At 35.1% G+C, this 17257-nt stretch overlaps 1 protein-coding gene across 10 annotated transcripts in view; it reads left to right on the top strand.

Moving 5' to 3' along the window:
• Nucleotides 1-17257, top strand: part of COL25A1 (collagen type XXV alpha 1 chain) — a 493934-nt gene that overhangs the window by 78075 nt on the left and 398602 nt on the right. For 2 of the 10 annotated variants that reach the window (XM_011532356.3, XM_011532355.3), the window contains exons 1-2: nucleotides 12229-12309; nucleotides 12995-13031. The exons of 7 other annotated variants lie outside the window; for them this stretch is intronic. In XM_011532356.3, coding sequence (XP_011530658.1) covers nucleotides 13004-13031 — 28 coding nt within the window. In that variant the 5' untranslated portion in view covers nucleotides 12229-12309; nucleotides 12995-13003. Of the gene's footprint in view, nucleotides 1-2516; nucleotides 10987-12228; nucleotides 12310-12994; nucleotides 13032-17257 lie in introns of those variants that run through there. One more of the 10 variants, XM_017008737.2, reaches the window with a different exon arrangement.

The following is a 17257-nucleotide window of genomic DNA, read 5'->3' as shown; positions in this document are numbered from 1 at the left end:
TATCATATTTTAGTGAAGTAATTTACATTCTTTGACTGAAATGGATTTGATTTTTTTTTTAAACTTTAAGGAGTACAGATGTAGCCCAAGTTAAGTAAACATAATACAATATAGACAAACTCCCAGATGAGATTTTAAGTTAAGATGACTGATATTTAAACATATATGCCCGAACTTAGAAGGATAAATAATCTTGTTCCTTTCAATGCAGTCACTTAAAGGACCTCCAGGTGTGGTTTCTCTCCAAGGCCTTAAAGGGTTCTACCCATATATTAGTGGGCAATTCCAATGACCTTTTTTTGATATTTCCTTTCAGAGTTTTTCAGAACCTGGTTGATCAAACCCCCATACCAATTTGATTACTTTTTTCTCCTCCTCCTTCTTCTTTTTAAACACAATGATATTATTTATTATGTTTATCACTGTTATCACAAGTCCTGGCTTGGAAAAACCTGTGTTTCTTAAAATCATATGTACTCTTAAAAAATAAACAAGCATTGAGGATATTAAAAAACATTAAAAATTCCAAGACAGGAGTTCAGAGCATATTTGAAGCAATGAAGTAAATGTCAGTGTAGCTCTTTAAGGTGTTTACTTGGAAGAAGATGACATAAATTCTGTGATATATATTTCAAAATCGGTAGATATAGGTATACTTCTTAGATATGTAATTCATAAATCTTTAGGGATATCAGTATCTTACACTCAGCACTTGTCACACACTAGTTTGTATGCTATGCCTGGTTCTAAAAGACATTATTTAGTAATAGAAATAAAGGCTCTCTTCATTTAACCCCTTTATTGGTCCCTATTAGATGCAAGATGTTTTGTTAAATAATCGGCTGATTATTAAGACCTAACTGGTAAATGCAGCAGATAGGGCACACTTTCCTGTACTCCAAGGAGTTCTGACTCTACTAAGAAGCTTAGAGTACTTTAGGAAGGGAATTATCTTTATCCAAATGAAGGTCATTTCCCTTACTGTTAGGGTCAAGGTGGGGGTGGGGGAGATGTCCCCACTCACTTTCTTTCAGAACTCTTTTCTGACTTGGTTTTGGGTGCTGCCAGCTGCTAGCAGCTGTCCCCAACTAATTCTGCATACCCTGAAACTTTGGGGATATTGGATTCTAAAGTCAATATTTAAGACATAGAACTATCATTAGTGCAGTTTTTTTTGGGGGGGGGAAATGTGGAATATAATAATAATTTCCAATGTTTTCATGTAAAAATGCATCCCAACTTTCTAAGAGTACACAACAGTAAGATTGAGGCCTGCCTGGTTACAATAGACGTGTTAGAATTGTAATGTTTATTTTTGGGTAAGTCCACATTGGTGACCTGATTAATAGGCTGAAATAGTTTGGAAAGATAAAAATATCTACAGTAACAGAACATTTAAATTTTCATTTCTCTAAATGCCAGGAAATTACAAATTAAATTGTGACATGAGGAAATGGAGGCTGACAATAAAGAAACATCTCCTAATAGTGTATAGATCTAAAGCATCCTTCAGGAATTAATTCTTGGTCTATTTGAGTTGGTATATATGTGATATAGCTGAGGGCGAGAGGATCAGCTTCTGTGATTCTGTTCAGGTCTCTGAATACAAAATGTTTATACACCCATAACCACTCACACTTATTGTTAGGAAATCAATTTGATTTGGATAATTTTTTAAGAATTAATAAAACTAATCACATTTCTTTCCAGATATATACAAGACAGAGTTATTTAAACAATAAGTTGGATTTGTAGAGAATCTGTTTTGTCTGTGAGTTATTTAAAACAATGCAGTTTTTTCATTCAGCAATATAGGTTTGCTTAATCTTGAGCCCAAAATGGACAGCCTCCTTTGGGAATATGTCTGGTTTCTAGCTGTAAAGACAACATGACTTTTTAAACTCTCTTGGGTCACTGAGGGAATAGTTGACTAGGTGTGTGAAGTAAGGATTCTAAATCCTACATTTAGCAAGTAAAAGATGATGGAATTTATAAGTTAAACATATTAAAGTGTTTATGTAGTAATTATTAAAATTGATTACTAAAATTAAATAGTTTAATATTAATTCTTGAGAACATAAATTCTTATAATTACTTACCAGGGGCCTAAAAGACTATAGAGTTGAGCTTTTAGTTTAGCAAGTTTCTCTGAAAATCAGTTTTTTAAAAATATGATTGTTCAAATGTTAAGTGTTAGAATTGAGGTTAAAGAATAAAAAGTTGGCCAGGCGCTGTGGCTCACCACTGTAATCCCAGCACTTTGGGAGGCCGAGGCGGGCGGATCACGAGGTCAGGAGATCGAGACCATCCTGGCCAACATGGTGAAACCCCGGCTCTACCAAAAATACAAAAATTAGCAGGATGTGGTGGCACATGCCTGTAATCTTAGCTACTCTGGAGGCTGAGGCAGGAGAATCACTTGAACTGGGGAGTCAGAGGTTGCAGTGAGCTGGGATGGCGCCATTGCACTCCAGCCTGGTGACAGAGAGAGACTCCATCTCAAAAAAAAAAAAAAAAAAAAAAAGAAGTTATTTAGAGCACAAATACAAAAAGTCACTTAATAGTTGATGTTATTTTTAAATTTTGTTAGTTTCTCTGAAAGAATATGCCTATTTTGCTGAAACTTGTGACCACTTTATTCTTCATTTTCCTTTTGTAGGAGTTATTACAACAGCAACATTGACCCATGATTGTGTCTTTATGAAAATTGGGGTATTTTATTTATTTATTTATTTAGGCATGAAAGTCCTTAAAATGTATAACACTGAAGAAAATCAACATAAGTCCATGCATTTTATAGGTTGATCAGTGAAAGGAAGGCCAAGATAGCTAGGTTTTTAGTAACACTGGTTAAGAGCCCATAACACAGAAGGTGTAAATTGGGTCACTTAACTGTTAACAGCATTGCAGTGACTTCACAATCTGATACTCAAAAGTAGTATTGGTTAAAATAATAGAAGTGTTAAAGAGTTATTTTCTATCTATGTTTCATTTGCCTTTTAATCCCATTTTCTTGTTACAACAGATATGCATACATGTTTTATGTATTACAAATGAAGTACTTATATATTTTAAGGTCAGCAAAAACATGCTAGGTTCAGATGTGTTTCTGCATACGCTTGGAAACAGTAACTGTGATTTCATCCATTACTATTTCAAACAAGTTTAATGACTGGATGTAATTCCTACAGGTATAGATTTTTAAAGTGCAGCTTACACTTTAAGAACTCATTGGAGAAATTTGCGTGGATTTTCATTCTACTCTGATTTAAAGGTTTTAGGCAAATTTGAAAAATTTCAAAATTGCTTCATTTTTCAGTGAAAATTTGTTTATACAAAGAGTAATATAGGGCTTTTTTTGCTGTAGAATTTTATCAATTACTCATCCCATATTGTTTAGTACTTAGTATCTTATGCATATTAAGTAATTTTATCAATTACTCATCACATATAATTTAGTACTTAATATCTTATGCATATTATTAATATCTTATGCATATTAAGTACTAAATAATATGGGATGAGTAATTGATAAAATTGTGCAGGGTTGGGAAACTCTTGCTTCCTGGAAGTTTATGGCTCTGAAGACTTACCCTCACATTCAGTTTCCACATTATTCAGTCTCGGTTCTACATTTCACCCATAAAATTTTCTGGAAAAATATCCACTCATATCAGTAAAATAGTTGTCTACTTATATTCTTTTCAGAGGAATTATAAATGCAGAAACCTCATAAGCAATGTGATGTTGAAAACAGTGAAATAACAGTATTATAGGGAATAAATCATAGTATGTTTGAGTACTAAAAAGAAAGAAAATTGTTTCCATGTGCTCTAAAGGAATTTGAATTTAGTTTCCAGAATTTGGATTTCAATAAAGTACTTTTGAACCTTTTCCTATTATTATAATCTTAGTAACATTATCCTCATCAGGTTTGATTTGATTTTAATAGCAAAATACATTTCTATATGCTTATCAAATAATTCTACTGTTAAAATACTGCTATGTATACAATATTAAACATATCATTACCATAGTTGATACATGATAGAATTAGTCCGGTCTTCAGATCTTCATTAAATAATGTTATTAAAATTCCCTGCATTCCATGGGGGAACCACAGTGTGTCTGGTGTAAAACCTTTTGGATAGTCTTTGTGTCTAGTTTGAATTGCTTTTGTTCATAAAATTCTGCCATGTAGAGTTATTTCTGAATATCTTATCAGTTGAGATAAACCACAAGTACCTGAAGCGAAATGGATGTCTGCGTAATCTCAAGAAATCTTCAGGTTCAGAAATATGCGTTCACTGAAGAGCAAAATCAGTTAATCTTTAAAATAAAATGTAACGAACCAATAAAAGAACCACAGTTCAGATGGCTGACATCATACTAAATGTCTTCCAGAAAACAGAGATTTTCTCATAGTGTGTTTTTTGGATGAATTTTTCCCTTATAGAATATACAAAGACTCAATTGATTGAGAACTCAAAGCAGTTGGTGGCTCTGATATGGGTTTATTGCCTCTATTAGATTAGAAGTAAGACTATAAATGACAGATGGTATCTTCTAGCCTACTTTCTAATTACAAAACAAGTAATACATATAGGTTTTCCATCTCATTAAGCACAGATACAAATAAAAATGACTTATTTTTCAGAAAATTATAATAGCATAGAGATAAAAATGTACAACTATTTTTATTTTAACATGGATTTCTGTTTAGTAGGATAACAAAAGAAGTTGATTTTTCAGAAGTTAAATTGGCACTTTGTAATTTTATATTGTCATATAGAAGGTGATCTCAAGAATAAACTAAAATTATAGCTATAACTTGGCCACCAGAAAGTAATAGCTTTTTCCTTCAGGCATTAGTCAACAAAGTCATAGGAGGCTGCTTGTGCTAGGATGTATAATTTCCTGTTAAGTTTATGGAAAATAATAGACAGGAATTATTGAAAATAAGGGCGTGGCTATAGGAGAGGTTAAAACAAAAGTAACAGAACTCATGCCCAGCTTTATGTTTCTTTTGTGGGGGGTGACACAGAGATTGGGAGTGTGGCAGGCAGGGTGGGATTGAGGAGGGTGAGAACCAGAGGAAGAAGCAAGGAACATAGGGTACAGACTAAGAGTAAAAACTGATAATTAAAAGAATTATTTGTTCTCAGTCTTTCTTTGTACCTTAAAAAAAAAACTCATTCTCTGTGTGACTGTTGGTAGAAACTGCCTCAGAATAACAGGTGCTGAGAAGCAAGAAACAGTCTGAATCAGTGGAGAGTACACTGGACTAGAAACCTGGTCATGTGTAAAGTCAGTGTCTTCCACAGCCTCAGTTTTATCACCTGTAAAATAATGAGTTTATAGATCATCTGCACAGTTCCTTCTAGTTTTATTTTATTGTGATTTGGTAGTTTAATAAATCAAGCCTTCCAGACTGACTTACTTGCTTTTATGCTTGCAGAATTCCAAGTGAGGATCATAGACAACCTTCCCAGGGAAAGTTTGTACTAACTCATTAATATAAATTTAAATGGGTTTGCTCTGACTCCTAGAAATTTAAAGGTGGCTGATCAGATTCTCCCTATAACTAGTTTGACATCACTGAAACCTCTCATTACACATTTCAAGTCCAGAAAACAGAAGTTTTGTGAGCCATCAAGAGCCTTGTGGAGGTATTCTAACTATGAACCTATTTTGGCGCAAATTTTATAAAGGAGAAAGAATTATCACTTTAATTCTAAATGCAAATCTATTTTAGATTTGAGTTCAGTATAATCTCATTAGATAAAAAACTCCCATGAGAATGGCAGCTGAAGATTTGGTTACAGGGCTTACATATTCAGGGACATGTGATGTGTTCAAAGGGTGAATTTTATGTTTTTTGAAGTGAAGAGGATAAAAATTAGTGATATATAATATTAGATGCAAACCATTAAGTGTTCAAAAGCAGTTCATTGGGTAAGAATATTTACCCAACATATTCCTAAAGTTAGGAGACTCGTGGTTTCTGGCATAAAAGCTGAGAGAGTACATACTGTAGTATTTGAACAAGGACATGGCAGAGTGACAAATTATATCAAAATCTGAGATGGGTGGAGGCACATCTAAACAGAGGCTGGATTGTCCTGGGTTTGGATAGAGTTTAAAACTTTCATGGGGCTTCTCTTTTTAAGCTGCCATGGAGAGTAAGTGTAGTTCAAAAGCAAAAAAAAAAAAAAAAAAAAAAAAACCCCAAAAAACCAGCAATTGATTCTGCAGAATTTTAGTATTTAGTAACACTTTCCATTAATGGTACATTAATAAGTCATGTCTCCTAATGTACAAAGTATTGTGAAGCTTCCAAATTGTATCTTGTCAAACATAACAAACCATATTACAGGATTCATCTGAAAGGTGAGTGTTCATTTTCGCCATTACTGGCAACTGAGAAATGATTTTACTATATGACTTATAGTACTGTCAGTAATGTCTATAAGTGAGCCAACTTCAGGAAAAACACATATCTCCATTAAAAAGACATGAATATAGAATAGTGCATAAAGGTGTAGGCTCTGGAGCCAGATCGCCACAGCACAAACCTGGCTCCACTACTTACTAGCTATGGGAATACAGACAGATTACATATGACTTGTATATACAGTCAGCCTCCATTTCTGTGGGTTTAGTATCCTTGGTTTCGACCAACTGTGATCTGAAAATACTCAGGGAGGAGAAAAGAATGGTTGTGTCTATACTGAACATGTACAAACTTTTTCCTGTTGTTATTGACTAAACTCAACAGTATAACAACTACTTACATAGCATTTGCATTGTATTAGGTATTATAAGTAATACCTAATGTGTGTAGTTTATATGCAAAATACTACACCATTTAATATAAGGGACTCAAACGTGATCCACAAAGGACTCCGTGGATTATGGTATCCTCGGGAGGTTGTGGAACCAATCCCTCACACTTACTGAGAAATGATTTTAACTAGATATCTGGCTTGTCAGCGCCTACCTGTAACCAAGGTGAAATACTAGAGACACATTGCATTATACATTTCAAAGCTTCAGTGTTTCCACCTGCTAAATTATTAATAGGTTATTAATCGTATTTCTCTTACAGTTATTTAGACTTAAAAGACTTATCTATAAAAGAGTTTATAAATATGTCTAACACATAGTGTTTAAAAATAATAGCTGTTAGATTATTATGATTATTGTCTGTTTTGTATTTCAAATATATTAATGGTTAGATGGCCAAAGGAATAAACAGGATTTGCTTTAAAATATGGTCAAAACAAAAATTAAATATTAACTATAAATTAAATATAAAATACCCCCAGTAAAATTAATAGAATTATAAAAGTAACAAATTGCATATCTGCCATCTGAAAAGTTGCATTTTGGCATCTGAGATAAAATATTAGCTCATTGGTAAGAGATTGAACTTTAGTGTCAGATTTGTCTATTTCTTAAGTTGTTAGGCATCCCAAAGATAGTATTTGTTAGGCAAACTTGCATTAAAAATTAAGAAAAGAGAGATTAAGTACTAAACTAAGAAAAATAATTAGGTTTTTAAAAAGAGTAATGTAACCTGTTGCTCTAAGAATTTCCTTTTTAAAATTCCTATTGCATCTTTCATTTATTCATTGTTCTACAACCAGCTTTGGTTGAATATTACAGGAAATGTTTTAGTTAAGCAAAGTTTGTCTTTCTACAATCTTCCACTGTGGTTTTTGAGACCCTTCCCTTAATATACCCTGCTTTTATTGTGCCCAGTTGTATTAATTTTCTAGGGCTGTTGTAATAAAGTATCATACATAAACTGTGGCTTAAAACAATAGAAATTTATTCTCTCTCAATTCTTGAGACTCAGAAATCAAGATGTTGGCAGGGCCATGCTCCCTCTGAAGCCTCTAGAGGAGGGCCCTTCCTTGCCTCTTACAGTTTATGATAGTACCGGGCATTTCTTGGCTTGTGGCAGAAGAGCTCCAATCTCTGCCTGTCTTCACATGGCTGTCCTCCTTTTGTGTGTGTCTGAGTCTCTTTTCTTTTTATAAGGATGACAGCCATACTGGATTAGGACCTACTCTAATCCAGGATGACATCATATTAATTTGATTATATCTACAAAGACCATTTCCAAATAAGGTCATATACACAGGTATTGTGGGTTAGAACTTGAGCATATCTCTTTGAAGAAACACAATTCAACCCATAAGCATTTTTACCATGGCAGCCCACTGAGTTTCTTCTTTAACTGCCCCCCCTTCCTTCCTTCCGTCTTTCCTTCCTTCCGTCCTTCCTTCCTTCCTTCCTTCCTTCCTTTTTTTCCTTCCTTCCTTCCTATCCATCCATTACATAAAATGAACATCTGCTGTGTGCCCGACATTTTCCTAGGCAGTAGGAACACCGGATAGAGTGACACAAAGTTCCTGATCTCATGCACTTATATTCTAAGTCAATAGACAAGTGACATTTAACATATAGAACATCTTTGAGAATAATTTTTACAAAGATCAATAAAACAAGGAAAGAGGATCAAGAGATATGGGGGCAGAGGGGGATGGCATGTGGGTGAGAGGTACATTTCAGACTGGATGGTCAGTGCAAGCTAGCTGCCCTGCTACACATACCTATCTGAACCCAATGTGCTGACTCACACATGTAACGTATTAAAAAGGTCTTTCTATAAATAATTTATTAAGTCAGAGGAGGGGTGCTAATATAGATTTGATTTTAGAATGTAGAAAAGATCGCTTTGAGGAGGGTCTCATGCTGTATTCATCCTCCCAATATGTGCTAAGTGCTTACTGGGTGACGGGAGCTGTGTTAGGTCAGAGGATGCAATGGTGAGCAAGAAAAGGTGGCCTCTGCCCTCATGGGACTTTCTCTGAAATCCTGATACAATGTGGAAGGCATTCTTAGGTAACAAAGAACTAGCAGCTGATTGGTATATGGGGAGGAGTTAATTCAGATTTGACTTTACTTACATCTTTCCTCCTGATCTCAAGGCAAAATAACAGAATATAGTCTAATTAGTTGTTTTAAAGACATATTCTACATACTTATATCTTACTGACTAAAGGTCAGTTATCAAAATTATAGGGAGGTGAGAAAAGTTTTAGTGTAAGTGTTGATGACTGACCTCCAAATAAACTATATTGTTTTCTTTGGATTTAATATGTTCTAGGATTATTTTTACAGAAATATTATGGTGGAAAATATTGTTGTGAGCTACATAGCCCAGATGTGAGTCATGAAAGCTGGTATAAACCAGATTTTATTTGATGATTTGTTTATTGACTTTTAGAATAGAGAATAAAAAGAAATTGTGTACTTTCATTTAAGAAAACAAATCTTCATTTTGTGAAGGACAAATCAAAGTTTGCTAAGTAGCTCACCTAAAAAATGACCTAACTTGTTACCCTGATTTCCTGTAGACTGTGTGTATCTGCCAGCTATTGTTTTACTAGGATGAGTGAATCTCTGCCAAAGGATTTAAAAGCTCTTCTAGAACTAGAAAATTCCTTAGTGTACAGAAATAAGATTTGCTGAGATAAATGTTCATCAAAAGGCAATGCATCAAGCTAAGGGAAAAATCTCCAGACACACAGGAAGATTGTACGTTTAGGCTTTCTTCTATGTCATGTTAAAAATTATGAAATGAATCTGCTGCTAGTCTGAGCACCAGACTAAACCAGAATGAAACCTGTCAAGCTCTGTCTCGTTAGCGCTATGCCAGCCATGGTGAGATCAAAGGGTAACCATGGCTTTCACAGAGCACTTCCTCAGGTCCTTTTGGCATCTTTTTGGCATCTTTGACTCAGACTAACATCACCAGTTCTGATCTCTTCTGCTTTCTGGAAGCACAGGGTAGATGGTTCCTGACTTCCCTTTTGTTGTATGTTTCATCTTGCATTGATACTTTTTTCTCCACTTGGCCCCTGTCCAACACGTAACTTGTTTTAGATTATATATATGTATATATATTTATATATCTCCAAATGGGGATGTTCATAGTACTGTTGCAGGAAAATAAAAAAATGTATATTTAAATAATTTTAAAGCGACTATTAGTGTTTCTAACAAAGTTGGTAATCTAGGACTTTTCTCAGTGTTACTGGTTACTAGTGTTACTAGTGTTTCTTAGTGTTACTGTACATAAACAATGTAGATTGACTTGGTGACTACTCCCAGTTTCCCATAGACCATGTATATAAAATAGTAATTATAAAGTTAAGGTATAACACTGTCTATATGGCCTCTAGATGTTTTTGGTTCACTACAGTGGAGCCTCATTTTAATGCTATTGTATGAAACAACCTAATTGATTTTATGAAGTTTTCAATATGTTTTTCTGTTACTTTTTTTTAATTTGTTTGAGGTTAAATTGGTCAAAATGGACCATTTATGAGGCTGAGGACACAGATTAGGCCCTATGAGTCTGAAGTTTTATTCCCTTTCATAATCACGTATCATACTGTCTTTAAAGCCCAGATCATTAATCTTACCAATAGATGTCATTGGTTACAGGGAGAAATCAGGCAAACGGCTGAGGGTGGGTTGAGGCTAATCTATGATGACTATGGGGGACTCAACCTTCTGATGTGTGACAGTAGGGTCACATTCAGAGATGAAGGTGATCATGTCAGGGGCACTATTTTTACTATCTACGTGATAGCATGTCACATCATAGCTTAGATCTGTTGAATTACTCACCATAAAATATGATGGTAGATTCTCATGTTAGGTGAAGCTCATTATTTACTTTACTGGAGAAAGGCAATATTAAACTTACAATTTGGACAGCTAAGGTTAGGACATTGCATTGTATAATAAGCCACCCTAAAACTTGATGATTTCTAATAACAGTAATCATTAATTTGTTTACAAACCTGCAATTTGGATAGGATTTGACTTCGTTTCATGTGGCATCAACTGGGATAGCTCAACTGGGGCTGCAGGATCCATTTCTAAGATGACTCACTTACATGGCTGGTAAGTTGGTGCTGTTAACTGGGAGATTAAATGGGCTGTTGACCAGGCTTCTCAGTTCCTCCCCACATGGTCCTCCCCATTGGGATGTTTGGGCTCCCTCAACAGCGTGCAGCTGGTTTCCAAGAACAAGTATCACGAAAAGACAGAAAGTGAAAGCTGCCAGCATCCTAAGGCCCAGACACTGGTTCAGCATCTCTTGTGCCATATCCTGTTGGTCAATTAATAGTCGCAGAGCCCACTAAGATTTAAGGAGAGGTAACATGGATCTCATCTTTTAATGGGAGGAGTGTTGCATACTTTGCAGCTGTCTGTAATCTACCACATATGTTTCTTATGATTAGTATTATCTCAGTAAAAATATAGATACTCAGGCACTTCTGTCATCTTAGATTAGATTCTGCTAGTCATATTCCAAAACAATAGAAGCAAGTCAATAGATACCATGATTTAATAATTAGTATTCTAGAAATTCATTCTAGCTTTTTTAGTCTTTTTCTGTTTTTAAGCACATACTGATGCATGAATCCCTTGTGGTACACTTGAAGTCATCCCCATGTCTGGACAGAAACAGGACACCCTGTCAGTGGTCTCCAAATATTTTAGGTTATACATCTCTATTATTACTTATGAAAAGCAAATATTTCTCCTATATATGTGGTGAAGAACAAGTAGGGACCTATGTCACTAATTCTTATACTCTCTTACTGTCTTCTGCCGCAGAAGACAGATAATTCCTTGCCTTCATTCCTGTTACTGAAATTTTTTGAGCATGTACCATACATGTACCAGAGTACTGCTATTGTATTTACTCTGTACAACAATTAGAAATTTTAAAAGCAAAAGATAAAAAATTTCAGAACTTGTAATTTTATCCTCATATACATCTCATTTTAGGGAACTCATGGGTACTACTTTTCCCCCTTCCTTGGCTTTCCACTTTCCTCCACAGTCATTTGTGGTAGATAGTCTATATAACAGTTGATTCCCTTCTGACATGGGCATACTGTCTTCATATCATGAAATGGAGTTTAATTTCCCTCTCCTTTAATCTGGACTTGCCTTGATTTCTTAACCAATAAAGTGTGGCAGAAGTGATGTCATGCACTAACTTCTATAAAGGCATTCAGCCTCCCAATAGGACTTTTAGAATGCTTGCTCTTGGAGGGCTCCCTTTTGGAACTCAGCCTCTATATCATAATAATGCCAAGCCACATAGAGAGTCTATGTGTAGGTGGTTTGGTTGTCAGGTCAGCTGAACACTTAGCTGATAGCTAGCATTAGCTGCTGGCCAGGTGCATAAGCCATCTTAGATGTCCAGCCCAGGTAAGGCTTCAAATGACTGAAATCTTAGCCATCATCTGTAACCATATCAGAGAACTACCCAGATGAGGCCACACAACCATAGGATAATAATAAATTATTCCTTTAAATCACTAAGTTTATAGGTGGTTTGCTATGAGCAATGGATAACCAGATCATCATTCCTCTGTGTTCTGTGTAATTGGTCTTCCAATTCTTAATGCCCTTCTATGAGTCATGACTAGAGAATTATTTAAAATATTAAAATAACATATTGTTTTATAGATGAGGAAACTGAGACTCAGAGTTAGTTACTCCAAGGGCAATCAGGAAATAAAGGGCCTGGAATTCAAAATACAGGTCTTATGACTGTGAAAGCCCACATTCTTTCTCCTGCTATAGCATTCTTCAGGTCGAGGCATTGTGAAATAATATTACACATTGGTCAACATGGTTGCCTGGAATTCTGAACAGACCATAGCAGGTGGAAGCTCCAGTTGGATCTTTGGGTTCCTTAGGGTTTGGAAAGAGGTTAAACAGTTAAACAAACAACCAGATTAGAAACGTATTTGGCAGGGTCAAAGAATCTCCAGCAACGGAATGTCTCTAAAATCTTTCATAGGCATCCTGCTAATGAAAGAGCTTTTCTTTCTCTTAACATCTTTAATTTTTTTTTATTTTTTAAGTTTTTTTTCTGAATATCTTCCAGGTTCATAGAATGGGATGCCCACTGATGACAATGCCAGGTAATTTAAGTAAGAACGTCTTGCTCCCCATACCTCTTCTCCCTATCACTCCCCATCTCTTAATGCTCAGAATGAACATTAAGGAACATTAAGGAACATTAAGGAAGGCTCAGAGTGAACAGCTAGCAAACAGGATAGGAGATGATCAGAAAGGAAAAGTGTCTCTCTTGCCCTTCCTAACTGGGAGGCTTTAAAAAATACTTTTTGTATTTTTAATTGTTTCATATATATATATATATATATATATATATATATATATATAGTTTCATATATATATAGTTTCATATATATACATATATATTGTTTCATATATATACATACACACACACAATATATATATATGTATTTAAAAATATTTTCTTTTTTCTTTTCAACTTTTATTTTAGGTTCATATGCAATGCAGGTTTGTTACCTTGGTAGATGGTGTGTCACAGGGGATTTGGTGTACAGATAATTTTGTCACCTAGATAATGAGCATAGTACCCGATAGGTAGTTTTTCAGTTCTCATCCACCCTCCTCTCCGTTCACTCTCAAGTAGGCCCCGGTGTCTGTGGTTCCCTTCTTTGTGCCCATGTGTGCTCAGTGTTTAGCTCCCACTTATAATTGAGAACATGCGGTATTTGGTTTTCTGTTCCTGTGTTAACTCGCTTAGGATAATGGCCTCCAGCACCATCCGTGTTGCTGCAAAGGGAATAATTTTATTCTTTTTTATGGCTGTGTAGGATTCCATGCTGTATATATACCACATTTGCTTTATCTATTCCCAGGTGGGAGGCTTTATCCAGGAACAGGGGAAACAGCTGGAACATGGAGTGATGTTGGCATCACTTAATTATCGCAGGAGACTCACTTTCTAGGGGTCAGATTGAGACTGTATTTTGCAACCTAAAGAAAATATAGGCATTTTATTACATAAGAGTTATCAAAAAGGTCACGATTGTATGATTTTTCAGCCATGGAAGGGGAAGAACTTCACCCACTGTGTAAATGTTAAAAACGGTGGGAAGCAAAATAAGATCACATTGCAATTTTGTCTGTTGGAATATGCTGGCTCATCTTGCCTGCCAGTATCTTGGAAGGTATCTTACAGGTAGACTGCATTCTGCAGTGTTTTGTAAGGTGGGCAGAAACTTAAAAGAGAGAGCGACTATTTTGAACTTAGACCATTATCTCTTTTGGAACAGAAGTGAATTTTAAAATTTTAAGTAGAAGAGCAGAGACATTCAGAGGTTTTAGACAATTTTATTAAAATTGTGAAAATTTCAATATAAAACATTACAGTTATTCAATATAAAATGGAGTTTTTTGACAACCATATTGCAATTTGTTTTGATACTAGTAGGAGCCTTTTACCTCTTAGTGATTTTTTTTTGAGGCTTCGCTCCTTTATGTTGCACCCTCCCTTTTCCCTTCCCAAATTGTTTCATCACAGAGCTATAATGAAATTAATACCTAACAAGAACCATATACTGAATTTTGATGTTTACTTTTTTTTTTTTTTGAGATGAAGTCTCACTCTGTCACCCAGGCTGGAGTGCAGTGGTGCTAATTTGGCTCACTGCAACCTCTGCCTCCCAGGTTCAAGCAATTCTCCTGCCTCAGCCTCCCGAATAGCTGGGACTGTAGGTGTCCACCATTACGCCTGGCTAATTTTTCTATTTTTAGTTGATGGGTTTTCACCATGTTGGCCAGGCTAGTCTCGAATTTCTGACCTCAAATGATCCGCCCAGCCCAGTCTCCCAAAGTGCTGAGATTACAGTCGTGAGCCACCTCTCCAGGCTTGAGGTTTACTCTTGAGAGCAAGTATTTCCAATGAAAACATAAGATACAGTAGTAAACAGTGGGGACATTATATACTCCTTTCTGTGAGTTATATACATTACGTAGAAATAGTCTGTATTTCAAAGATAATAATTATTTACTGAAGGTTTTTGAAAATAAAGTGAGGGAAATTTATTAATGTTGTTACTAATAACATGTTCAATTCTGTTTTATGAATCTCATAAATATCCCCAAAGATACTAAAATTTACTGCTTTGTGTCTGGAAAGAAATAGAGTTGATTGGTTAATCTTTTCTGTTTAATTTTACATTTTAATGTTGCCTGTATTTTTATTGAGAGAAACTCTCATTGATTTGGATGATATTTCATCTCTGAAGGAGTTGACTGGGTTATTCAGACGCATATGAACATGTTAGGAACTCTCATTTTTTTTTTCTGGCATTATCTCCTATCTAGTTGTTTGGAATAAAAATGAAATCTTTACTATTCAGCATTGTTATGTGATTAGTTTCATCTGCTTTTGGAAATAGAAATAGATACTAGCTTATTCTGAATATGTACAGAGCAGTGTTCACCTTAACCCATTGTTTTGGTGCCATTCTTTGTTGCATGTAACTCTCACCTAGGCTGTTAAAGTTACTTGAAAATATTAATTGAAGGTCATCTTGCTTTACCAGTATATCTAGTGGAAGAGGACCTGCAAAAGCAATGCCCCTACATAACATTCTTTGTCATGTAAATGGAAGAAATATTCAGTGAATATAATGAAAAGCACAATAATAAAACATTTCATTCAATTATCTACTGTTTATTATATACTCCCTATTTTCTCAGCACAGTGCTAAAAGCAGGAGGTAGATAAGTGTAAGAAACAGTCTGGTTTATGTTTCTGAGTGTAAGTGAGAATAGAGAAAACGCAGTGGAGAATGATCCTCTTCAGGGCACTTTGTATTCTATGTAAGATGGTTGTGTCACATGCTACTGCTCTCTGTAGCTTAGTATTAAAAAAATTCAACTTGGTAAGATATAGGAAAGTTATGTGGACTCATGTATATGTGTGCCTCCTCTCTAAAATGGAAACAAAATCATTTATCTGAGTTATCACTTTCCTTCGTAATGTGGTTCTTTGTAGTTTGTTCAGTGAAGCTAATAATCTTTTTTATAAAACAGTATATTAAAAGTTAAAAAAATCTGAAATCACTATGTAGATAGTGATTAACTGTTGAGAAAAATTCCTGTTTTTAAACTATCTGAATGAGATTTAATAATTTGTTTTTTTTTTTTTTATTAACTGATATCTTCTTTCTTGGAAAAAAAATGTTCCCTTCAGGGTTCTCCACATTCTGAAGTGCAGAGTGAGGTGGAGGCTGCATCCTTAGGGCGTGGAACAGCGTCTGCTAAAAAGAGACTCCTCAGTGTATGTTTGTTGAATGGATGAGTGAAAGTGGATGGAAAGAATATGATAAATGACTTCATTATTTTTGGTGTGCTGGATTGCTCGGATTCACAAGCATAAGAGCTACCTCGTAGATGGAACTCATTCCTTAAGTCAAAGTAGTTTTGCCCAGACTGATGCATGGTAGATAAAATGCAAGACTTATTTCAGAGTTGTTAATTATGTTTTAGCTGTTCCTGTGCTGTGATTTGCATATTGCATGCTGTGTTGGAATTAGCAGAGGGCATACAGAGTGCGTATATATGCGTGTCTCTTTCTTTCTATAATGCTCTGTTAAGCTGCAGGACAACCTAGTTTATGATCACTAGGAAAAGTGGTGATTACATTGAGCCTGCTTTAGAAAGACTAGAAGAGGTCTTTCAATGATTTTGGAAAAAGTTTAAGAGTGTCTTGGCAACCATTTTCAAAGTATCACATTGAGAAGCAATTCTTTAATAGAGTATACTTTATTGCTAGCATGGTGTAGGTAGGATTGACTTATAAAACATAACTTTAAGTATTTGGTGTATTATAAATTGAATGTTTACTTTCTTTTGTTTCTGACTTTTCAGCATCCTAAATATTTTTTAATGAGCAATTACAGGTATGGTTAGTAGTCACTAAGTTGTAAATAGAATTAGCACACATTTTGAATTATGGGGCAATGTGTAGTGCTTATTTCAAAACTTGTCATTTCTGTTTTCTTTAACACTTATCTGAACATATAAGCAGTGTTTTCTTGTTAAAAACATTGGCTTGAGGGAAAACCATGCACTAGAAAATTAGTATTTTGAGAAATTTCAATGAAAAGTGACATTCAACACCCGAGCTATATCTTAAGTGTTTTGTCAGTGATAGAAACCTCAGGGACAAGCCATCAGGAGTGAGAGTAGAACTGTGTTGAAGACCTCAGTGATCCTCTTGCAAATCACTCCAGCTCTGATATTACCTTACATCACTGTAACTATGCTCCAGGAAGACTGCCAAGATGTTAAAGCTCCCCCGCCT

The sequence above is a fragment of the Homo sapiens genome, chromosome 4, assembly GCF_000001405.40.
Source record: "Homo sapiens chromosome 4, GRCh38.p14 Primary Assembly".
NCBI classification, from domain to species: domain Eukaryota; kingdom Metazoa; phylum Chordata; class Mammalia; order Primates; family Hominidae; genus Homo; species Homo sapiens.
This window is presented reverse-complemented; position numbering and strand designations above follow the sequence as displayed.